The 25,079-nt window shown below is 38.9% G+C and overlaps 1 annotated feature.

Annotated features, from left to right (window-relative positions):
* Positions 1-25,079: part of a centromere (Linear centromere model derived predominantly from reads generated in PMID: 17803354. This region does not represent an actual centromere sequence, as long-range ordering of repeats and unmapped WGS contigs is not provided by the model. For details of model production, see http://arxiv.org/abs/1307.0035.) that runs on past both edges of the window.

Genomic DNA, 25,079 nt, shown 5'->3' with positions numbered 1-25,079 from the left:
ATATCCACTTGCAGATTCCACAGAAAGACTGTTTCAAAACTGCTCTGTCAATAGAAAGGTTCATCTCTGTTAGCGGCGTGCATAAATCCCAAAGAAGATTCTGAGATTGCTTCTGTCTAGTTTTTATGGGAAGATATTTCCCTTTTCACCGTAGGCGTCCAGGCGCTCCAAATGTCCACTTCCAGATACTACAAAAAGAGTGTTTCAAACCTACTCTGTGAAAGGGAATATTCAACTCTGTGACTCGAATGCACATATCACAAGGAAGTTTCTGAGAATGCTTCTGTCGAGATTTTGTATGAAGATATTCCCGTTTCCAACGAAATCCTGAAATCTATCCAAATTTCCCCTCGCAGATTCTACAAAAAGAGTGTTTCAAAACTGCTCTGTGAAAAGAAAGGTTCAACTGCTGTTAGTTGAGTACACACATCACAAACAAGTTTCACAGAATGCTTCTTTCTAGCTTGTAGGGTAAGATATTCCCTTTATGACCATGGGCCTCAAACCGTCCGAAACGTCCACTTTTATATACTACAAAAAGAGCGTTTCAAACCTGCTCTATGAAAGGCAATGTTCAACTCTGTGACTTGAATGCAGACATCACAGAGCAGTTTCTGAGAATGCTTCTGTCTAGATTTTATAGGAAGATATTCCCGTTTCCAACGAAATCTTCACAGCTATCCAAATATCCACTTGCAGATTCTACAAAAAGAGTGTATCAAAACTGCTCTGTCAAAAGGAAAGTTCTTCTCTGTTAGGTGAGTGCATACGTCATAAAGGAGTTTCTGAGAATGTTTCTGTCTAGTGGTTATGGGAAGATATTTGCTTTTTCACCGTAGGCCTCAGAGCGCTCCAAATATCCACTTGCACATACTACAAAAAGAGTGCCTCAAAGCTGCTCTCTGAAACGGAATGTTCAACTCTATGAGTTGAATGCAAACATCACAAAGACGTTTCTGAGAATGCTTCTGTCTAGATTTGATATGAAGATATTCCCGTTTCCAACGAAATCTTCAAATCTATCCAAATGTCCACTTGCAGATTCAACAAAAAGTGTTTTTCAGAACTTCTCTATCAAAAGAAAGATCCACCTCTGTTAGCTGAGTTCACACATCACAAACAAGTTTATGAGAATGCTTCTGTCTAGTTTTTATTTGAAGATATTTCCTTTCTCACCATAGACCTGAAAGCTGTCCTAATGATCACTTCCAGATACTACAGAAAGAGTGTTTCAAAACTGCTGTACGAAAGGGAATGTTCAACTCTGTGACTTGAATGCACACATCACAAAGAAGTTTCTGAGGATGCTGCTGTCTACTTTTTCTACGTAATCCCGTTTCCAACGAAATCCTCCAAGCTATCCAAATATCCACTTGCAGATTCCACAGAAAGACTGTTTCAAAACTGCTCTGTCAATAGAAAGGTTCAACTCTGTTAGCTGCGTGCATATATCCCAAAGAAGATTCTGAGATTGCTTCTGTCTACTTTTTATGAGAAGATATTTCCCTTTTCACCGTAGGCGTCAAGGCTCTCCAAATGTCCACTTCCAGATACTACAAAAAGAGTGTTTCAAACCTACTCTGTGAAAGGGAATATTGAACTCTGTGACTTGAATGCACATATCACAAAGAAGCTTCTGAGAATGCTTCTGTCGAGATTTTATATGAAGATATTCCCGTTTCCAACGAAATCCTGAAATCTATCCAAATATCCCCTCGCAGATTCTACAAAAAGAGTGTTTCAAAACTGCTCTGTAAAAAGAAAGGTTCAACTCTATTAGTTGAGTACACACATCACAAACAAGTTTCACAGAATGCTTCTTTCTAGCTTGTAGGGGAAGATATTCCCTTTATCACCATGGGCCTCAAACCGTCCGAAACTTCCACTTCCATATACTACAAAAAGAGCGTTTCAAACCTGCTCTAGGAAAGGCAATGTTCAACTCTGTGACTTGAATGCAGACATCACATAGCAGTTTCTGAGAATGCTTCTGTCTAGATTTTATAGGAAGATATTCCCGTTTCCAACGAAATCTTCACAGCTATCCAAATATCCACTTGCAGATTCTACAAAAAGAGTGTATCAAAACTGCTCTGTCAAAAGGAAGGTTCTTCTCTGTTAGTTGAGTACATACGTCATAAAGGAGTTTGTGAGAATGTTTCTGTCTAGTGGTTATGGGAAGATATTTGCTTTTTCACCGAAGGCCTCAGAGCGCTCCAAATGTCCACTTGCACATACTACAAAATGAGTGCCTCAAAGCTGCTCTCTGAAACGGAATGTTCAACTCTATGAGTTGAATGCAAACATCACAAAGACGTTTCCGAGAATGCTTCTGTCTAGATTTGATATGAAGATATTCCCGTTTCCAACGTAATCTTCAAATCTATCCAAATGTCCCCTTGCAGATTCAACAAAGTGTTTTTCAAAACTGCTGTACCAAAGAAAGATCCACCTCTGTTAGCTGAGTTCACACTTCACAAACAAGTTTATCAGAATGCTTCTGTCTAGTTTTTATTTGAAGATATTTCCTTTCTCACCATAGACCTGAAAGCTGTCCTAATGTTCACTTCCAGTTACTACAGAAAGAGTGTTTGAAAACTGCTGTACGAAAGGGAATGCTCAACTCTGTGACTTGAATGCACACATCACAAAGAAGTTTCTGAGGATGCTGCTGTCTACTTTTTATACTTAATCCCGTTTCCAACGAAATCCTCCAAGCTATCCAAATATCCACTTGCAGATTCCACAGAAAGACTGTTTCAAAACTGCTCTGTCAATAGAAAGGTTCAACTCTGTTAGCTGCGTGCATATATCCCAAAGAAGATTCTGAGATTGCTTCTGTCTAGTTTTTATGGGAAGATATTTCCCTTTTCACCGTAGGGCGTCAAGGCGCTCCAAATGTCCACTTCCAGATACTACAAAAAGAGTGTTTCAAACCTACTCTGTGAAAGGGAATATTCAACTCTGTGACTTTAATGCACATATCACAAAGAAGTTTCTGAGAATGCTTCTGTCGAGATTTTCTATGAAGATATTCCCGTTTCCAACGAAATCCTGAAATGTATCCAAATATCCCCTCGCAGATTCTACAGAAAGAGTGTTTCAAAACTGCTCTGTAAAAAGAAAGGTTCAACTCTGTTACTTGAGTACACACATCACAAACAAGTTTCACAGAATGCTTCTTTCTAGCTTGTAGGGGAAGATATTCCCTTTATCACCGTGGGCCTCAAACCGTCCGAAACGTCCACTTCCATATACTACAAAAAGAGCGTTTCAAACCTGCTCTAGGAAAGGCAATGTTCAACTCTGTGACTTGAATGCAGACATCACAGAGCAGTTTCTGAGAATGCTTCTGTCTAGAATTTATAGGAAGATATTCCCGTTTCCAACGAAATCTTCACAGCTATCCAAATATCCACTTTCAGATTCTACAAAAAGAGTGTATCAAAAGTGCTCTGTCAAAAGGAAGGTTCTTCTCTGTTAGGTGAGTGCATACGTCATAAAGGAGTTTCTGAGAATGTTTCTGTCTAGTGGTTATGGGAAGATATTTGCTTTTTCACCTTAGGCCTCAGAGCGCTCCATATATCCCCTTGCACATACTACAAAAAGAATGCTTCAAAGCTGCTCTCTGAAAGGGAATGTTCAACTCTATGATTTGAATGCAAACATCACAAAGACGTTTCTGAGAATGCTTCTGTCTAGATTTGATATGAAGATCTTCCCGTTTCCAACGAAATCTTCAAATCTATCCAAATGTCCACTTGCAGATTCAACAGAAAGTGTTTTTCAGAACTGCTCTATCAAAAGAAAGATCCACCTCTGTTAGCTGAGTTCAGACATCACAAACAAGTTTATGAGAATGCTTCTGTCTAGTTTTTATTTGAAGATATTTCCTTTCTCACCATAGACCTGAAAGCTGTCCTAATGTTCACTTCCAGATACTACAGAAAGAGTGTTTCAAAACTGCTGCACGAAAGGGAATGTTCAACTCTGTGACTTGAATGCACACCTCACAAAGAAGTTTCTGAGGATGCTGCTGTCTACTTTTTATACGTACTCCCGTTTCCAACGAAATCCTCCAAGCTATCCAAATATCCACTTGCAGATTCCACAGAAAGACTGTTTCAAAACTGCTCTGTCAATAGAAAGGTTCAACTCTGTTAGCTGCGTGCATATATCCCAAAGAAGATTCTGAGATTGCTTCTGTCTACTTTTTATGGGAAGATATTTCCCTTTTCACCGTAGGCGTCAAGGCGCTCCAAATGTCCACTTCCAGATACTACAAAAAGAGTGTTTCAAACCTACTCTGTGAAAGGGAATATTCAACTCTGTGACTAGAATGCGCATATCACAATGAAGTTTCTGAGAATGCTTCTGTCGAGATTTTATATGAAGATATTCCCGTTTCCAACGAAATCCTGAAATCTATCCAAATATCCCCTCGCAGATTCTACAAAAAGAGTGTTTCAAAACTGCTCTGTGAAAAGAAAGGTTCAACTCTGTTAGTTGAGTACACACATCACAAACAAGTTTCACAGAATGCTTCTTTCTAGCTTGTAGGGGAAGATATTCCCTTTATCACCATGGGGCTCCAACCGTCCGAAACATCCACTTCCATATACTACAAAAAGAGCGTTTCAAACCTGCTCTATGAAAGGCAATGTTCAACTCTGTGACTTGAATGCAGACATCACAGAGCAGTTTCTGAGAATGCTTCTGTCTAGATTTTATAGGAAGTTATTCCCGTTTCCAACGAAATCTTCACAGGTATCCAAATATCCACTTGCAGATTCTACAAAAAGAGTGTATCAAAACTGCTCTGTCAAAAGGAAGGTTCTTCTCTGTTAGGTGAGTGCATACGTCATAAAGGAGTTTCTGAGAATGTTTCTGTCTAGTGGTTATGGGAAGATATTTGCTTTTTCACCGTAGGCCTCAGAGCGCTCCAAATATCCACTTGCACATACTACAAAAAGAGTGCTTCAAAGCTGCTCTCTGAAACGGAATGTTTAACTCTATGAGTTGAATGCAAACATCACAAAGACGTTTCTGAGAATGCTTCTGTCTAGATTTGATATGAAGATATTCCCGATTCCAAAGAAATCTTCAAATCTATCCAAATGTCCACTTGCAGATTCAACAAAAAGTGTTTTTCAGAACTGCTCTATCAAAAGAAAGATCCACGGCTCTTAGCTGAGTTCACACATCACGAACAAGTTTATGAGAATGCTTCTGTCTAGTTTTTATTTGAAGATATTTCCTTTCTCACCATAGACCTGAAACGCTGTCCTAATGTTCACTTCCAGATACTACAGAAAGAGTGTTTCAAAACTGCTGTACGAAAGGGAATGTTCAACTCTGTGACTTGAATGCACACATCACAAGGAAGTTTCTCAGGATGCTGCTGTCTACTTTTTATACGTAATCCCGTTTCCAACGAAATCCTCCAAGCTATCCAAATATCCACTTGCAGATTCCACAGAAAGACTGTTTCAAAACTGCTCTGTCAATAGAAAGGTTCAACTCTGTTAGCTGCGTGCATATATCCCAAAGAAGATTCTGAGATTGCTTATCTGTCTACTTTTTATGAGAAGATATTTTCCTTTTCACCGTAGGCGTCAGGGCGCTCCAAATGTCCACTTCCAGATACTACAAAAAGAGTGTTTCAAACCTACTCTGTGAACGGGAATATTCAACTCTGTGACTTGAATGCACATATCACAAAGAAGCTTCTGAGAATGCTTCTGTCGAGATTTTATATGAAGATATTCCCGTTTCGAACGAAATCCTGAAATCTATCCAAATATCCCCTCGCAGATTCTACAAAAAGAGTGTTTCAAAACTGCTCTGTAAAAAGAAAGGTTCAACTCTGTTAGTTGAGTACACACATCACAAAAAAGTTTCACAGAATGCTTCTTTCTAGCTTGTAGGGGAAGATATTCCCTTTATCACCATGGGCCTCAAACCGTCCGAAAAGTCCACTTCCATATACTACGAAAAGAGCATTTCAAACCTGCTCTATGAAAGGCAATGTTCAACTCTGTGACTTGAATGCAGACATCACAGAGCAGTTTCTGAGAATGCTTCTGTCTAGATTTTATAGGAAGATATTCCCGTTTCCAACGAAATCTTCACAGCTATCCAAATATCCACTTGCAGTTTCTACAAAAAGAGTGTATCAAAACTGCTCTCTCAAAAGGAAGGTTCTTCTCTGTTAGTTGAGTACATACGTCATAAAGGAGTTTCTGAGAAAGTTTCTGTCTAGTGGTTATGGGAAGATATTTTCTTTTTCACCGTAGGCCTCAGAGCGCTCCAAATATCCACTTGCACATACTACAAAAAGAGTGTTTCAAAGCTGCTCTCTGAAAGGGAATGTTCAACTCTATGAGTTGAATGCAAACATGACAAAGACGTTTCTGAGAATGCTTCTCTCTAGATTTGATATGAAGATATTCCCATTTCCAAAGAAATCTTCAAATCTATCCAAATGTCCACTTGCAGATTCAACAAAAAGTGTTTTTCAGAACTGCTCTATCAAAAGAAAGATCCACGTCTCTTAGCTGAGTTCACACATCACAAACAAGTTTATGAGAATGCTTCTGTGTAGTTTTTATTTGAAGATATTTCCTTTCTCACCATAGACCTGAATGCTGTCCTAATGTTCACTTCCAGACACTACAGAAAGAGTTTTTCAAAACTGCTGTACGAAAGGGAATGTTCAACTCTGTGACTTGAATGCACACATCACAAAGAAGTTTCTGAGGATGCTGCTGTCTACTTTTTATAGGTAATCCCGTTTCCAACGAAATCCTCCAAGCTATCCAAATATCCACTTGCAGATTCCACAGAAAGACTGTTACAAAACTGCTCTGTCAATAGAAAGGTTCAACTCTCTTAGCTGCGTGCATATATCCCAAAGAAGATTCTGAGATTGCTTCTGTCTAGTTTTTATGGGAAGATATTTCCCTTTTCACCGTAGTTGTCAATGTGCTCCAAATGTCCACTTCCAGACACTACAAAAAGAGTGTTTCAAACCTACTCTGTGAAAGGGAATATTCAACTCTGTGACTTGAATGCAGATATCACAAAGAAGTTTCTGAGAATGCTTCTGTCGAGATTTTATATGAAGATATTCCCGTTTCCAACGAAATCCTGAAATCTATCCAAATATCCCCTCGCAGATTCTACAAAAAGAGTGTTTCAAAACTGCTCTGTAAAAAGAAAGGTTGAACTCTGTTACTTGAGTACACACATCACAAACAAGTTTCACAGAATGCTTCTTTCTAGCTTGTAGGGGAAGATATTCCCTTTATCACCATGGGCCTCAAACCGTCCGAAACGTCTACTTCCATATACTACAAAAAGAGCGTTTCAAACCTGCTCTATGAAAGGCAATGTTCAACTCTGTGACTTGAATGCAGACATCACAGAGCAGTTTCTGAGAATGCTTTCTGTCTAGATTTTATAGGAAGATATTTCCGTTTCCAACGAAATCTTCACAGCTATCCAAATATCCACTTGCAGATTCTACAAAAAGAGTGTATCAAAACTGCTCTGTCAAAAGGAAGGTTCTTCTCTGTTAGGTGAGTGCATACGTCATAAAGGAGTTTCTGAGAATGTTTCTGTCTAGTGGTTATGGGAAGATATTTGCTTTTTCACCGTAGGCCTCAGAGCGCTCCAAATATCCACTTGCACATACTACAAAAAGAGTGCCTCAAAGCTGCTCTCTGAAACGGAATGTTCAACTCTATGAGTTGAATGCAAACATCGCAAAGACGTTTCTGAGAATGCTTTCTGTCTAGATTTGATATGAAGATATTCCCGTTTCCAACGAAATCTTCAAATCTATCCAAATGTCCACTTGCAGATTCAACAAAAAGTGTTTTTCAGAACTGCTCTATCAAAAGAAAGATCCACGTGTGTTAGCTGCGTTCACACATCACAAACAAGTTTATGAGAATGCTTCTATCTAGTTTTTATTTGAAGATATTTCCTTTCTCACCATCGACCTGAAAGCTGTCCTAATGTTCACTTCCAGATACTACAGAAAGAGTGTTTCAAAACTGCTGTACGAAAGGGAATGTTCAACTCTGTGACTTGAATGCACACATCACAAAGAAGTTTCTGAGGATGCTGCTGTCTACTTTTTATACGTAATCCCGTTTCCAACGAAATCCTCCAAGCTATCCAAATATCCACTTGCAGATTCCACAGAAAGAGTGTTTCAAAACTGCTCTGTCAATAGAAAGGTTCAACTCTGTTAGCTGCGTGCATATATCCCAAAGAAGATTCTGAGATTGCTTCTGTCTAGTTTTTATGGGAAGATATTTCCCTTTTCACCGTAGGTGTCAAGGTGCTCCAAATGTCCACTTCCAGATACTACAAAAAGAGTGTTTCAAACCTACTCTGTGAAAGGGAATATTCAACTCTGTGACTTGAATGCAGATATCACAAAGAAGTTTCCTGAGAATGCTTCTGTCGAGATTTTATATGAAGATATTCCCGTTTACAACGAAATTCTGAAATCTATCCAAATATCCCCTCGCAGATTCTAGAAAAAGAGTGTTTCAAAACTGCTCTGTAAAAAGAAAGGTTCACTTCTCTTAGTTGAGTACACACATCACAAACAAGTTTCTCAGAATGCTTCTTTCTAGCTTGTAGGGGAAGATATTCCCTTTATCACCATGGGCCTCAAACCGTCCGAAACGTCTACTTCCATATACTACAAAAAGAGCGCTTCAAACCTGCTCTATGAAAAGCAATGTTCAACTCTGTGACTTGAATGCAGACATCGCAGAGCAGTTTCTGAGAATGCTTCTGTCTAGATTTTATAGGAAGATATTCCCGTTTCCAACGAAATCTTCACAGCTATCCAAATATCCACTTGCAGATTCTACAAAAAGAGTTTATCAAAACTGCTCTGTCAAAAGGAAGGTTCTTCTCTGTTAGGTGAGTGCATACTTCATAAAGGAGTTTCTGAGAATGTTTCTGTCTAGTGGTTATGGGAAGATATTTGCTTTTTCACCGTAGGCCTCAGAGCGCTCCAAATGTCCACTTGCACATGCTACAAAAAGAGTGCTTCAAAGCTGCTCTCTGAAAGGGAATGTTCAACTCTATGAGTTGAATGCAAACATCACAAAGACGTTTCTGAGAATGCTTCTGTCTAGATTTGATATGAAGATATTCCCGTTTCCAACGAAATCTTCAAATCTATCCAAATGTCCACTTGCAGATTCAACAAAAAGTGTTTTTCCGAACTGCTCTATCAAAAGAAAGATCCACCTCTGTTAGCTCAGTTCACACATCACAAACAAGTTTATGAGAATGTTTCTGTCTAGTTTTTATTTGAAGATATTTCCTTTCTCACCATAGACCTGAAAGCTGTCCTAATGTTCACTTCCAGATACTACAGAAAGAGTGTTTCAAAACTGCTGTACGAAAGGGAATGTTCAGCTCTGTGACTTGAATGCACACATCACAAAGAAGTTTCTGAGGATGCTGCTGTCTACTTTTTATACGTAATTCCGTTTCCAACGAAATCCTCCAATCTATCCAAATATCCACTTGCAGATTCCACAGAAAGACTGTTTCAAATCTGCTCAGTCAATAGAAAGGTTCAACTCTGTTAGCTGCGTGCATATATCACAAAGAAGATTCTGAGATTGCTTCTGTCTAGTTTTTATGGGAAGATATTTCCCTTTTCACCGTAGGCGTCAAGGCGCTCCAAATGACCACTTCCAGATACTACAAAAAGAGTGTTTCAAACCTACTCTGTGAAAGGGAATATTCAACTCTGTGACTTGAATGCACATATCACAAGGAAGTTTCTGAGAATGCTTCTGTCGAGATTTTATATGAAGATATTCCCGTTTCCAACGAAATGCTGAAATGTATCAAAATATCCCCTCGCAGATTCTACAAAAAGAGTGTTTCAAAACTGCTCTGTAAAAAGAAAGGTTCAACTCTGTTAGTTGAGTACACACATCACAAACAAGTTTCACAGAATGCTTCTTTCTAGCTTGTAGGGGAAGATATTCCCTTTATCACCATGGGCCTCAAACCGTCCGAAACGTCTACTTCCATATACTACAAAAAGAGCGTTTCAAACCTGCTCTATGAAAAGCAATGTTCAACTCTGTGACTTGAATGCAGACATCACAGAGCAGTTTCTGAGAATGCTTCTGTCTAGATTTTATAGGAAGATATTCTCGTTTCCAACGAAATCTTCACAGCTATCCAAATATCCACTTGCAGATTCTACAAAAAGAGTGTATCAAAACTGCTCTGTCAAAAGGAAGGTTCTTCTCTGTTAGGTGAGTGCATACGTCATAAAGGAGTTTCTGAGAATGTTTCTGTCTAGTGGTTATGGGAAGATATTTGCTTTTTCACCGTAGGCCTCAGAGCGCTCCAAATATCCACTTGCACATACTACAAAAAGAGTGCTTCAAAGCTGCTCTCTGAAACGGAATGTTCAACTCTGTGAGTTGAATGCAAACATCACAAAGACGTTTCTGAGAATGCTTCTGTCTACATTTGATATGAAGATATTCCCGTTTCCAACGAAATCTTCAAATCTATCCAAATGTCCACTTGCATAATCAACAAAAAGTGTTTTTCAGAACTGCTCTATCAAAAGAAAGATCCACCTCTGTTAGCTGAGTTCACACATCACAAACAAGTTTATGAGAATGCTTCTGTCTAGTTTTTATTTGAAGATATTTCCTTTCTCACCATAGACCTGAAAGCTGTCCTAATGTTCACTTCCAGATACTACAGAAAGAGTGTTTCAAAACTGCTGTACGAAAGGGAATGTTCAACTCTGTGACTTGAATGCACACCGCACAAAGAAGTTTCTGAGGATGCTGCTGTCTACTTTTTATACTTAATCCCGTTTCCAACGAAATCCTCCAAGCTATCCAAATATCCACTTGCAGATTCCACAGAAAGACTGTTTCAAAACTGCTCTGTCAATAGAAAGGTTCAACTCTGTTAGCTGCGTGCATATATCCCAAAGAAGATTCCTGAGATTGCTTCTGTCTAGTTTTTATGGGAAGATATTTCCCTTTTCACCGTAGGCGTCAAGGCGCTCCAAATGTCCACTTCCAGATACTACAAAAAGAGTGTTTCAAACCTACTCTGTGAAAGGGAATATTCAACTCTGTGACTTGAATGCAGATATCACAAAGAAGTTTCTGAGAATGCTTCTGTCGAGATTTTATATGAAGATATTCCCGTTTCCAACGAAATCCTGAAATCTATCCAAATATCCCCTCGCAGATTCTACAAAAAGAGTGTTTCCAAACTGCTCTGTAAAAAGAAAGGTTCAACTCTGTTAGTTGAGTACACACATCACAAACAAGTTTCACAGAATGCTTCTTTCTAGCTTGTAGGGGAAGATATTCCCTTTATCACCATGGGCCTCAAACCGTCCGAAACGTCCACTTCCATATACTACAAAAAGATCGTTTCAAACCTGCTCTAGGAAAGGCAATGTTCAACTCTGTGACTTGAATGCAGACATCACAGAGCAGTTTCTGAGAATGCTTCTGTCTGGATTTTATAGGAAGATATTCCCGTTTCCAACGAAATCTTCACAGCTATCCAAATATCCACTTGCAGATTCTACAAAAAGAGTGTATCAAACCTGCTCTGTCAAAAGGAAGGTTCTTCTCTGTTAGTTGAGTACATACGTCATAAAGGAGTTTCTGAGAATGTTTCTGTCTAGTGGTTATGGGAAGATATTTGCTTTTTCACCGTAGGCCTCAGAGCGCTCCAAATATCCACTTGCACATACTACAAAAAGAGTGCCTCAAAGCTGCTCTTGGAAACGGAATGTTCAACTCTATGAGTTGAATGCAAACATCACAAAGACGTTTCTGAGAATGCTTCTGTCTAGATTTGATATGAAGATATTCCCGTTTCCAACGAAATCTTCATATCTATCCAAATGTCCACTTGCAGATTCAACAAAAAGTGTTTTTCAAAACTGCTGTATCAAAAGAAAGATCCACGTCTGTTAGCTGAGTTCACACATCACAAACAAGTTTATGAGAATGCTTCTGTCTAGTTTTTATTTGAAGATATTTCCTTTCTCACCATAGACCTGAAAGCTGTCCTAATGTTCACTCCCAGATAATACACAAAGAGTGTTTCAAAACTGCTGTACGAAGGGGAATGTTCAACTCTGTGACTTGAATGCACACATCACAAAGAAGTTTCTGAGGATGCTGCTGTCTACTTTTTATACGTAATCCCGTTTCCAACGAAATCCTCCAAGCTATCCAAATATCCACTTGCAGATTCCACAGAAAGACTGTTTCAAAACTGCTCTGTCAATAGAAAGGTTCAACTCTGTTAACTGCGTGCATATATCCCAAAGAAGATTCTGAGATTGCTTCTGTGTAGTTTTTATGGGAAGATATTTCCTTTTTCACCATTGGCGTCAAAGCGCTCCCAATGTCCACTTCCAGATACTACAAAAAGAGTGTTTCAAACCTGCTATGTGAAAGGGAATATTCAACTCTGTAACTTCAATGCATATATCACAAAGAGGTTTCGGAGAATGCTTCTGTCGAGATTTTATATGAAGATATTCCCGTTTCCAACGAAATCCTGAAATCTATCCAAATATCCCCTCGCAGATTCTACAGAAAGAGTGTTTCAAAACTGCTCTGTAAAAAGAAAGGTTCAACTCTGTTAGTTGAGTGCACATATCACAAACAAGTTTCACAGAATGCTTCTTTCTAGCTTGTAGGGGAAGATATTCCCTTTATCACCATGGGCCTCCAACCGTCCGAAACATCCACTTCCATATACTACAAAAAGAGCGTTTCAAACCTGCTCTATGAAAGGCAATGTTCAACTCTGTGACTTGAATGCAGACATCACAGAGCAGTTTCTGAAAATGCTTCTGTCTAGATTTTATAGGAAGATATTCCCGTTTCCAACGAAATCTTCACAGCTATCCAAATATCCACTTGCAGATTCTACAAAAAGAGTGTATCAAAACTGCTCTGTCAAAAGGAAGGTTCTTCTCTGTTAGGTGAGTGCATACGTCGTAAAGGAGTTTCTGAGAATGTTTCTGTCTAGTGGTTATGGGAAGATATTTGCTTTTTCACCGTAGGCCTCAGAGCGCTCCAAATATCCACTTGCACATACTACAAAAAGAGTGCCTCAAAGCTGCTCTCTGAAACGGAATGTTCAACTCTATGAGTTGAATGCAAACATCACAAAGACGTCTCTGAGAAGGCTTCTGTCTAGATTTGATATGAAGATATTCCCGTTTCCAACGAAATCTTCAAATCTATCTAAATGTCCACTTGCAGATTCAACAAAAAATGTTTTTCAGAACTGCTCTATCAAAAGAAAGATCCACCTCTGTTAGCTGAGTTCACACATCACAAACAAGTTAATGAGAATGCTTCTGTCTAGTTTTTATTTGAAGATATTTCCTTTCTCACCATAGAGCTGAAAGCTGTCCTAATGTTCACTTCCAGATACTACAGAAAGAGTGTTTCAAAACTGCTGTACGAAAGGGAATGTTCAACTCTGTGACTTGAATGCACACGTCACAAAGAAGTTTCTGAGGATGCTGCTGTCTACTTTTTATACGTAATCCCGTTTCCAACGAAATCCTCCAAGCTATCCAAATATCCACTTGCAGATTCCACAGAAAGGCTGTTTCAAAACTGCTCTGTCAATAGAAAGGTTCAACTCTGTTAGCTGCGTGCATATATCCCAAAGAAGATTCTGAGATTGCTTTCTGTCTAGTTTTTATGGGAAGATATTTCCCTTTTCACCGTAGGCGTCATGGCGCTCCAAATGTCCACTTCCAGATACTACAAAAAGAATGTTTCAAACCTACTCGGTGAAAGGGAATATTCAACTCTGTGACCTGAATGCAGATATCACAAAGAAGTTTCTGAGAATGCTTCTGTCGAGATTTTATATGAAGATATTCCCGTTTCCAACGAAATCCTGAAATCTATCCAAATATCCCCCCGCAGATTCTACAAAAAGAGTGTTTCAAAACTGCTCTGTAAAAAGAAAGGTTCAACTCTGTTAGTTGAGTACACACATCACAAACAAGTTTCACAGAATGCTTCTTTCTAGCTTGTAGGGGAAGATATTCCCTTTATCACCATGGGCCTCCAACCGTCCGAAACATCCACTTACATATACTACAAAAAGAGCGTTTCAAACCTGCTCTATGAAAGGCAATGTTCAACTCTGTGACTTGAATACAGATATCACAGAGCAGTTTCTGAGAATGCTTCTGTCTAGATTTTATAGGAAGATATTCCCGTTTCCAACGAAATCTTCACAGCTATCCAAATATCCACTTGCAGATTCTACAAAAAGAGTGTATCAAAACTGCTCTGTCAAAAGGAAGGTTCTTCTCTGTTGGGTGAGTGCATACGTCATAAAGGAGTTTCTGAGAATGTTTCTGTCTAGTGGTTATGGGAAGATATTTGCTTTTTCACCTTAGGCCTCAGAGCGATCCAAATATCCACTTGCACATACTACAAAAAGAGTGCTTCAAAGCTGCTCTCTGAAACGGAATGTTCAACTCTATGAGTTGAATGCAAACATGACAAAGACGTTTCCGAGAATGCTTCTGTCTAGATTTGATATGACGATATTCCCGTTTCCAACGAAATCTTCAAATCTATCCAAATGTCCACTTGCAGATTCAACAAAACGTGTTTTTCAGAACTGCTCTATCAAAAGAAAGATCCACGTCTCTTAGCTGAGTTCACACATCACAAACAAGTTTATGAGAATGCTTCTGTCTAGTTTTTATTTGAAGATATTTCCTTTCTCACCATAGACCTGAAAGCTGTCCTAATGTTCACTTCCAGACACTACAGAAAGAGTGTTTCAAAACTGCTGTACGAAAGGGAATGTTCAACTCTGTGACTTGAATGCACACATCACAAAGAAGTTTCTGAGGATGCTGCTGTCTACTTTTTATACGTAATCCCATTTCCAACGAAATCCTCCAAGCTATCCAAATATCCACTTGCAGATTCCACAGAAAGACTGTTTCAAAACTGCTATGTCAATAGAAAAGTTCAACTCTGTTAGCTGTGTGCATATATCCCAAAGAAAATTCTGAGATTGCTTCTGTCTAGTTTTTATGGGAAGATATTTCCCTTTTCACCGTAGGCGTCAATGCGCTCCAAATGTCCACTTCCAGATACTACAAAAAGAGTGTTTCAAACCTACTCTGTGAAAGGGAATATTCAACTCTGTGACTTAAAGGCAGATATCACAAAGAAGTTTCTGAGAATGCTTCTGTCGAGATTTTATATGAAGATATTCCCGTTTCCAACGAAATCCTAAATCTATCCAAATATCCCCTCGCAGATTCTACAAAAAGAGTGTTTCAAAACTGCTCTGTAAAAAGAAAGGTTCAACTCTGTTAGTTGAGTACACACATCACAAACAAGTTTCACAGAATGCTTCTTTCTAGCTTGTAGGGGAAGATATTCCCTTTATCACCATGGGCCTCAAAGCGTCCGAAACGTCTACTTCCATATACTACAAAAAGAACGTTTCAAACCTGCTCTATGAAAAGCAATGTTCAACTCTGTGACTTGAATGCAGACATCACAGAGCAGTTTCTGAGAATGCTTCTGTCTAGATTTTATAGGAAGATATTCCCGTTTCCAACGATATCTTCACAGCTATCCAAATATCCACTTGCAGATTCTACAAAAAGAGTGTATCAAAACTGCTCTGTCAAAAGGAAGGTTCTTCTCTGTTAGTTGAGTACATACGTCATAAAGGAGTTTCTGAGAATGTTTCTGTCTAGTGGTTATGGGAAGATATTTGCTTTTTCACCTTAGGCCTCAGAGCGCTCCAAATATCCCCTTGCACATACTACAAAAAGAGTGCTTCAAAGCTGCTCTCTGAAACGGAATGTTCAACTCTATGGGTTGAATGCAAACATCACAAAGACGTTTCTGAGAATGCTTCTGTCTAGATTTGATATGAAGATATTCCCGTTTCCAAAGAAATCTTCAAATCTATCCAAATGTCCACTTGCAGATTCAACAAAAAGTGTTTTTCAGAACTGCTCTATCAAAAGAAAGATCCAGGTCTCTTAGCTGAGTTCACACATCACAAACAAGTTTATGAGAATGCTTCTGTCTAGTTTTTATTTGAAGATATTTCCTTTCTCACCATAGACCTGAAAGCTGTCCTAATGTTCACTTCCAGATACTACAGAAAGAGTGTTTCAAAACTGCTGTACGAAAGGGAATGTTCAACTCTGTGACTTCAATGCACACATCACAAAGAAGTTTCTGAGGATGCTGCTGTCTACTTTTTATACGTAATCCCGTTTCCAACGAAATCCTCCAAGCTATCCAAATATCCACTTGCAGATTCCACAAAAAGACTGTTTCAAAACTGCTCTGTCAATAGAAAGGTTCAACTCTGTTAGCTGCGTGCATACATCCCAAAGAAGATTCTGAGATTGCTTCTGTCTACTTTTTATGAGAAGATATTTCCCTTTTCACCGTAGGCGTCAAGGCGCTCCAAATGTCCACTTCCAGATACTACAAAAAGAGTGTTTCAAACCTACTCTGTGAAAGGGAATATTCAACTGTGTGACTTGAATGCACATATCACAAAGAAGCTTCTGAGAATGCTTCTGTCGAGATTTTATATGAAGATATTCCCGTTTCCAACGAAATCCTGAAATGTATCCAAATATCCCCTCGCAGATTATACAAAAAGAGTGTTTCAAAACTGCTCTGTAAAAAGAAAGGTTCAACTCTGTTAGTTGAGTACACACATCACAAACAAGTTTCACACAATGCTTCTTTCTAGCTTGTAGGGGAAGATATTTCCTTTATCACCATGGTTCTCAAACCGTCCGAAACGTCCACTTCCATATACTAAAAAAAGAGTGTTTGAAACCTGCTCTATGAAAGGCAATGTTCAACTCTGTCACTTGAATGCAGACATCACAGAGCAGTTTCTGAGAATGCTTCTGTCTAGATTTTATAGGAAGATATTCCCGTTTCCAACGAAATCTTTACAGCTATCCAAATATCCACTTGCAGATTCTACAAAAAGAGTGTATCAAAACTGCTCTGTCAAAAGGAAGGTTCTTCTCTGTTAGGTGAGTGCATACGTCATAAAGGAGTTTCTGAGAATGTTTCTGTCTAGTGGTTATGGGAAGATATTTGCTTTTTCCCCGTAGGCCTCAGGGCGCTCCAAATGTCCACTTGCACATGCTACAAAAAGAGTGCTTCAAAGCTGCTCTCTGAAAGGGAATGTTCAACTCTATGAGTTGAATGCAAACATCACAAAAACGTTTCTGAGAATGCTTCTGTCTAGATTTGATATGAAGATATTCCCGTTTCCAACGAAATCTTCAAATCTATCCAAATGTCCACTTGCAGATTCAACAAAAAGTGTTTTTAAAACTGCTGTATCAAAAGAAAGATTCACGTCTGTTAGCTGAGTTCACACATCACAAACAAGTTTATGAGAATGCTTCTGTCTAGTTTTTATTTGAAGATATTTCCCTTCTCACCATAGACCTGCAAGCTGTCCTAATGTTCACTTCCAGATACTACAGAAAGAGTGTTTCAAAACTGCTGTACGAAAGGGAATGTTCAACTCTGTGACTTGAATGCACACATCACAAAGTAGTTTCTGAGGATGCTGCTGTGTACTTTTGATACGTAATCCCGTTTCCAACGAAATCCTCCAAGCTATCGAAATATCCACTTGCAGATTCCACAGAACGACTGTTTCAAAACTGCTCTGTCAATAGAAATGTTCAACTCTGTTAGCTGCGTGCATATATCCCAAAGAAGATTCTGAGATTGCTTTCTGTCTACTTTTTATGAGAAGATATTTCCCTTTTCACCGTAGGCGTCAAGGTGCTCAAAATGTCCACTTCCAGATACTACAGAAAGAGTGTTTCAAACCTACTCTGTGAAAGGGAATATTCAACTCTCTGACTTGAATGCACATATCACAAAGAAGTTTTCTGAGAATGCTTCTGTCGAGATTTTATATGAAGATATTCCCGTTTCCAACGAAATCCTGAAATGTATCCAAATATCCCCTCGCAGATTCTACAAAAAGAGTGTTTCAAAACTGCTCTGGAAAAAGAAAGGTTCAACTCTGTTAGTTGAGTACACACATCACAAACAAGTTTCACAGAATGCTTCTTTCTAGCTTGTAGGGGAAGATATTCCCTTTATCACCATGGGCCTCAAACCGTCTGAAACGTCCACTTCCATATACTACAAAAAGAGCGTTTCAAACCTGCTCTATGAAAGGCAATGTTCAACTCTGTGAGTTGAATGCAGACATCACAGAGCAGTTTCTGAGAATGCTTCTGTCTAGATTTTATAGGAAGATATTCCCGTTTCCAACGAAATCTTCACAGCTATCCAAATATCCACTTGCAGGTTCTACAAAAAGAGTGTATCAAAACTGCTCTGTCAAAAGGAAGGTTCTTTTCTGTTAGGTGAGTGCATACGTCATAAAGGAGTTTCTGAGAATGTTTCTGTTTAGTGGTTATGGGAAGATATTTGCTTTTTCACCTTAGGCCTCAGAGCGCTCCAAATATCCCCTTGCACATACTACAAAAAGAGTGCTTCAAAGCTGCTCTCTGAAAGGGAATGTTCAACTCTATGAGTTGAATGCAAACATGACCAAGACGTTTCCGAGAATGCTTCTGTCTAGATTTGATATGAAGATATTCCCGTTTCCAACGAAATCTTCAAATCTATCCAAATGTCCACTTGCAGATTCAACAAAAAGTGTTTTTCAGAACTGCTCTATCAAAAGAAAGATCCACCTCTGTTAGCTGAGTTCACACTTCACAAACAAGTTTATCAGAATGCTTCTGTCTAGTTTTTATTTGAAGATATTTCCTTTCTCACCATAGAGCTGAAAGCTGTCCTAATGTTCACTTCCAGATACTACAGAAAGAGTGTTTCAAAACTGCTGTACGAAAGGGAATGTTCAACTCTGTGACTTGAATGCACACATCACAGAGAAGTTTCTGAGGATGCTGCTGTCTACTTTTTATACCTAATCCCGTTTCCAAAGAAATCCTCCAATCTATCCAAATATCCACTTGCAGATTCCACAGAAAGACTGTTTCAAAACTGCTCTGTCAATAGAAAGGTTCAACTCTGTTAGCTGCGTGCATATATCCCAAAGAAGATTCTGAGATTGCTTCTGTCTAGTTTTTATGGGAAGATATTTCCCTTTTCACCGTAGGCGTCAAGGCGCTCTAAATGTCCACTTCCAGATACTACAAAAAGAGTGTTTCAAACCTACTCTGTGAAAGGGAATATTCAACTCTGTGACTTGAATGCACATATCACAAGGAAGTTTCTGAGAATGCTTCTGTCGAGATTTTATATGAAGATATTCCCGTTTCCAACGAAATCCTGAAATCTATCCAAATATCCCCTCGCAGATTCTACAAAAAGAGTGTTTCAAAACTGCTCTGTAAAAAGAAAGGTTCAACACTGTTAGTTGAGTACACACATCACAAACAAGTTTCACAGAGTGCTTCTTTCTAGCTTGTAGGGGAATATATTCCCTTTATCACCATGGGTCTCAAACCGTCCGAAACGTCCACCTCCATATACTACAAAAAGAGCGTTTCAAACCTGCTCTATGAAAGGCAATGTTCAACTCTGTGACTTGAATGCAGACATCACAGAGCTGTTTCTGAGAATGCTTCTGTCTAGATTTTATAGGAAGATATTCCCGTTTCCAACGAAATCTTCACAGCTATCCAAATATCCACTTGCAGATTCTACAAAAAGAGTGTATCAAAACTCCTCTGTCAAAAGAAGGTTCTTCTCTGTTAGGTGAGTGCATACGTCATAAAGGAGTTTCTGAGAATGTTTCTGTCTAGTGGTTATGGGAAGATATTTCCTTTTTCCCCGTAGGCCTCAGGGCGCTCCAAATGTCCACTTGCACATGCTACAAAAAGAGTGCTTCAAAGCTGCTCTCTGAAAGGGAATGTTCAACTCTATGAGTTGAATGCAAACATCACAAAGACGTTTCTGAGAATGCTTCTGTCTAGATTTGATATGAAGATATTCCCGTTTCCAATGAAATCTTCAAATCTATCCAAATGTCCACTTGCAGATTCAACAAAAAGTGTTTTTCAGAACTGCTCTATCAAAAGAAAGATCCACCTCTGTTAGCTGAGTTCAGACATCACAAACAAGTTTATGAGAATGCTTCTGTCTAGTTTTTATTTGAAGATATTTCCTTTCTCACCATAGAGCTGAAAGCTGTCCTAATGTTCACTTCCAGTTACTACAGAAAGAGTGTTTGAAAACTGCTGTACGAAAGGGAATGTTCAACTCTGTGACTTGAATGCACACATCACAAAGAAGTTTCTGAGGATGCTGCTGTCTACTTTTTATACGTAATCCCGTTTCCAACGAAATCCTCCAAGCTATCCAAATATCCACTTGCAGATTCCACAGAAAGACTGTTTCAAAACTGCTCTGTCAATAGAAAGGTTCAACTCTGTTAGCTGCGTGCATATAACCCAAAGAAGATTCTGAGATTGCTTCTGTCTAGTTTTTATGGGAAGATATTTCCCTTTTCACCGTAGGTGTCAATGTGCTCCAAATGTCCACTTCCAGACACTACAAAAAGAGTGTTTCAAACCTACTCTGTGAAAGGGAATATTCAACTCTGTGACTTGAATGCAGATAACACAAAGAAGTTTCTGAGAATGCTTCTGTCGAGATTTTATATGAAGATATTCCCGTTTCCAAGGAAATCCTGAAATGTATCCAAATATCCCCTCGCAGATTCTACAAAAAGAGTGTTTCAAAACTGCTCTGTAAAAAGAAAGGTTCAACTCTGTTAGTTGAGTACACACATCACAAACAAGTTTCACACAATGCTTCTTTCTAGCTTGTAGGGGAAGATATTCCCTTTATCACCATGGGCCTCAAACCGTCCGAAACGTCTACTTCCATATACTACAAAAAGAGCGTTTCAAACATACTCTATGAAAGGCAATGTTCAACTCTGTGACTTGAATGCAGACATCACAGAGCAGTTTCTGAGAATGCTTCTGTCTAGATTTTATAGGAAGATATTCCCGTTTCCAACGAAATCTTCACAGGTATCCAAATATCCACTTGCAGATTCTACAAAAAGAGTGTATCAAAACTGCTCTGTCAAAAGGAAGGTTCTTCTCTGTTAGGTGAGTGCATACCTCATAAAGGAGTTTCTGAGAATGTTTTCTGTCTAGTGGTTATGGGAAGATATTTGCTTTTTCACCGTAGGCCTCAGAGCGCTCCAAATATCTACTTGCACATACTACAAAAAGAGTGCCACAAAGCTGCTCTCTGAAAGGGAATGTTCAACTCTATGAGTTGAATGCAAACATCACAAAGACGTTTCTGAGAATGCTTCTGTCTAGATTTGATATGAAGATATTCCCGTTACCAACGAAATATTCAAATCTATCCAAATGTCCACTTGCAGATTCAACAAAAAGTGTTTTTCAGAACTGCTCTATCAAAAGAAAGATCCACCTCCTGTTAGCTGAGTTCACACATCACAAACAAGTTTATGAGAATGCTGCTGTCTAGTTTTTATTTGAAGATATTTCCTTTCTCACCATAGACCTGAAAGCTGTCCTAATGTTCACTTCCAGATACTACAGAAAGAGTGTTTCAAAACTGCTGTACGAAAGGGAATGTTCAACTCTGTGACTTGAATGCACACATCACAAAGAAGTTTCTGAGGATGCTGCTGTCTACTTTTTATACGTAATCCCGTTTCCAACGAAATCCTGCAAGCTATCCAAATATCCACTTGCAGATTCCACAGAAAGAATGTTTCAAAACTGCTCTGTCAATAGAAAGGTTCAACTCTGTTAGCTGCGTGCATATATCCCAAAGAAGATTCTGAGATTGCTTCTGTCTAGTTTTTATGGGAAGATATTTCCCTTTTCACCGTAGGCGTCAAGGCGCTTCAAATGTCCACTTCCAGATACTACAAAAAGAGTGTTTCAAACCTACTCTGTGAAAGGGAATATTCAACTACTGTGACTTGAATGCACATATCACAAAGAAGTTTCTGAGAATGCTTCTGTCGAGATTTTATATGAAGATATTCCCGTTTCCAAAGAAATCCTGAAATCTATCCAAATATCCCCTCGCAGATTCTACAAAAAGAGTGTTTCAAAACTGCTCTGTAAAAAGGAAGGTTCAACTCTGTTAGTTGAGTACACACATCACAAACAAGTTTCACAGAATGCTTCTTTCTAGCTTGTAGGGGAAGATATTCCCTTTATCACCATGGGCCTCAAACCGTCCGAAAAGACCACTTCCATATACTACAAAAAGAGCGTTTCAAACCTGCTCTATGAAAGGCAATGTTCAACTCTGTGACTTGAATGCAGACATCACAGAGCAGTTTCTGAGAATGCTTCTGTCTAGATTTTATAGGAAGATATTCCCGTTTCCAAAGAAATCTTCACAGCTATCCAAATATCCACTTGCAGATTCTACAAAAAGAGTGTATCAAAACTGCTCTGTCAAAAGGAAGGTTCTTCTCTGTTAGTTGAGTACATACGTCATAAAGGAGTTTCTGAGAATGTTTCTGTCTAGTGGTTATGGGAAGATATTTGCTTTTTCACCTTAGGCCTCAGAGAGCTCCAAATATCCCCTTGCACATACTACAAAAAGAGTGCTTCAAAGCTGCTCTTTGAAAGGGAATGTTCAACTCTATGAGTTGAATGCAAACATCACAAAGACGTTTCTGAGAATGCTTCTGTCTAGATTTGATATGAAGATATTCCCGTTTCCAACGAAATCTTCATATCTATCCAAATGTCCACTTGCAGATTCAACAAAAAGTGTTTTTCAAAACTGCTGTATCAAAAGAAAGATCCACGTCTGTTAGCTGATGCTCTATCAAAAGAATCTGTCTAGTTTTTATTTGAAGATATATCCTTTCTCACTATAGACCTGAAAGCTCTCCTAAAGTTCACTTCCCGATACTACAGAAAGAGTTTTTCAAAACTGCTGTACGAAAGGGAATGTTCAACTCTGTGACTTGAATGCACACGTCACAAGGAAGATTCTGAGGATGCTGCTGTCTACTTTTTATACGTAATCCCGTTTCCAAAGAAATCCCCCAAGCTATCCAAATATCCACTTGCAGATTCCACAGAAAGACTGTTTCAAAACTGCTCTGTCAATAGAAAGGTTCAACTCTATTAGCTGCGTGCATATATCCCAAAGAAGATTCTGAGATTGCTTCTGTCTAGTTTTTATGGGAAGATATTTCCGTTTTCACCGTAGACGTCAAGGCGCTCCAAATGTCCACTTCCAGATACTACAAAAAGAGTGTTTCAAACCTACTCTGTGAAAGGGAATATTCAACTCTGTGACTTGAATGCAGATATCACAAAGAAGTTTCTGAGAATGCTTCTGTCGAGATTTTATATGAAGATATTCCCGTTTCCAGCGAAATCCTGAAATGTATCCAAATATCCCCTCGCAGATTCTACAAAAAGAGTGTTTCAAAACTGCTCTGTAAAGAGAAAGGTTCAACTCTGTTAGTTGAGTGCACACATCACAAACAAGTTTCACAGAATGCTTCTTTCTAGCTCGTAGGGGAAGATATTCCCTTTATCACCATGGGCCTCAAACCGTCCGAATCGTCCACTTCCATATACTACAAAAAGAGCGTTTCAAACCTGCTCCATGAAAGGCAATGTTCAACTCTGTGACTTGAATGCAGACATCACAGAGCAGTTTCTGAGAATGCTTCTGTCTAGATTTTATAGGAAGATATTCCCGTTTCCAACGAAATCTTCACAGTTATCCAAATATCCACTTGCAGATTCTGCAAAAAGAGTGTATCAAAACTGCTCAGTCAAAAGGAAGGTTCTTCTCTGTTAGGTGAGTGCATACGTCATAACGGAGTTTCTGAGAATGTTTCTGTCTAGTGGTTATGGGAAGATATTTGCTTTTTCACCGTAGGCCTCAGAGCGCTCCAAATATCCACTTGCACATACTACAAAAAGAGTGCCTCAAAGCTGCTCTCTGAAACGGAATGTTCAACTCTATGAGTTGAATGCCAACATCACAAAGACGTTTCTGAGAATGCTTCTGTCTGGACTTGATATGAAGATATTCCCGTTTCCAACGAAATCTTCAAATCTATCCAAATGTCCACTTGCAGATTCAACAAAAAGTGTTTTTCAGAACTGCTCTATCAAAAGAAAGATCCACGGCTCTTAGCTGAGTTCACACATCACGAACAAGTTTATGAGAATGCTTCTGTCTAGTTTTTATTTGAAGATATTTCCTTTCTCACCATAGAGCTGAAAGCTGTCCTAATGTTCATTTCCAGATACTACAGAAAGAGTGTTTCAAAACTGCTGTACGAAAGGGAATGTTCAACTCTGTGACTTGAATGCACACATCACAAAGAAGTTTCTGAGGATGCTGCTGTCTACTTTTTATACGTAATCCCGTTTCCAACGAAATCCTCCAAGCTATCCAAATATCCACTTGCAGATTCCACAGAAAGACTGTTTCAAAACTGCTCTGTCAATAGAAAGGTTCAACTCTGTTAGCTGTGTGCATATATCCCAAAGAAGATTCTGAGATTGCTTCTGTCCAGTTTTTATGGGAAGATATTTCCCTTTTCACCGTAGGCGTCAAGGCGCTCCAAATGTCCACTTCCAGATACTACAAAAAGAGTGTTTCAAACCTACTCTGTGAAAGGGAATATTCAACTCTGTGACTTGAATGCAGATATCACAAAGAAGTTTCTGAGAATGCTTCTGTCGAGATTTTATATGAAGATATTCCCGTTTCCAACGAAATCCTGAAATCTATCTAAATATCCCCTCGCAGATTCTACAAAAAGAGTGTTTCAAAACTGCTCTGTAAAAAGAAAGGTTCAACTCTGTTAGTTGTGTACACACATCACAAACAAGTTTCACAGAATGCTTCTTTCTAGCTTGTAGGGGAAGATATTCCCTTTATCACCATGGGCCTCAAACCGTCCGAAACGTCTACTTCCATATACTACAA

The sequence above is a fragment of the Homo sapiens genome, chromosome 13, assembly GCF_000001405.40.
Source record: "Homo sapiens chromosome 13, GRCh38.p14 Primary Assembly".
NCBI lineage: Eukaryota > Metazoa > Chordata > Mammalia > Primates > Hominidae > Homo > Homo sapiens.
The sequence above is the reverse complement of the archived record's forward strand: the minus strand, read 5'-3'. Positions and strand labels throughout refer to the sequence as shown.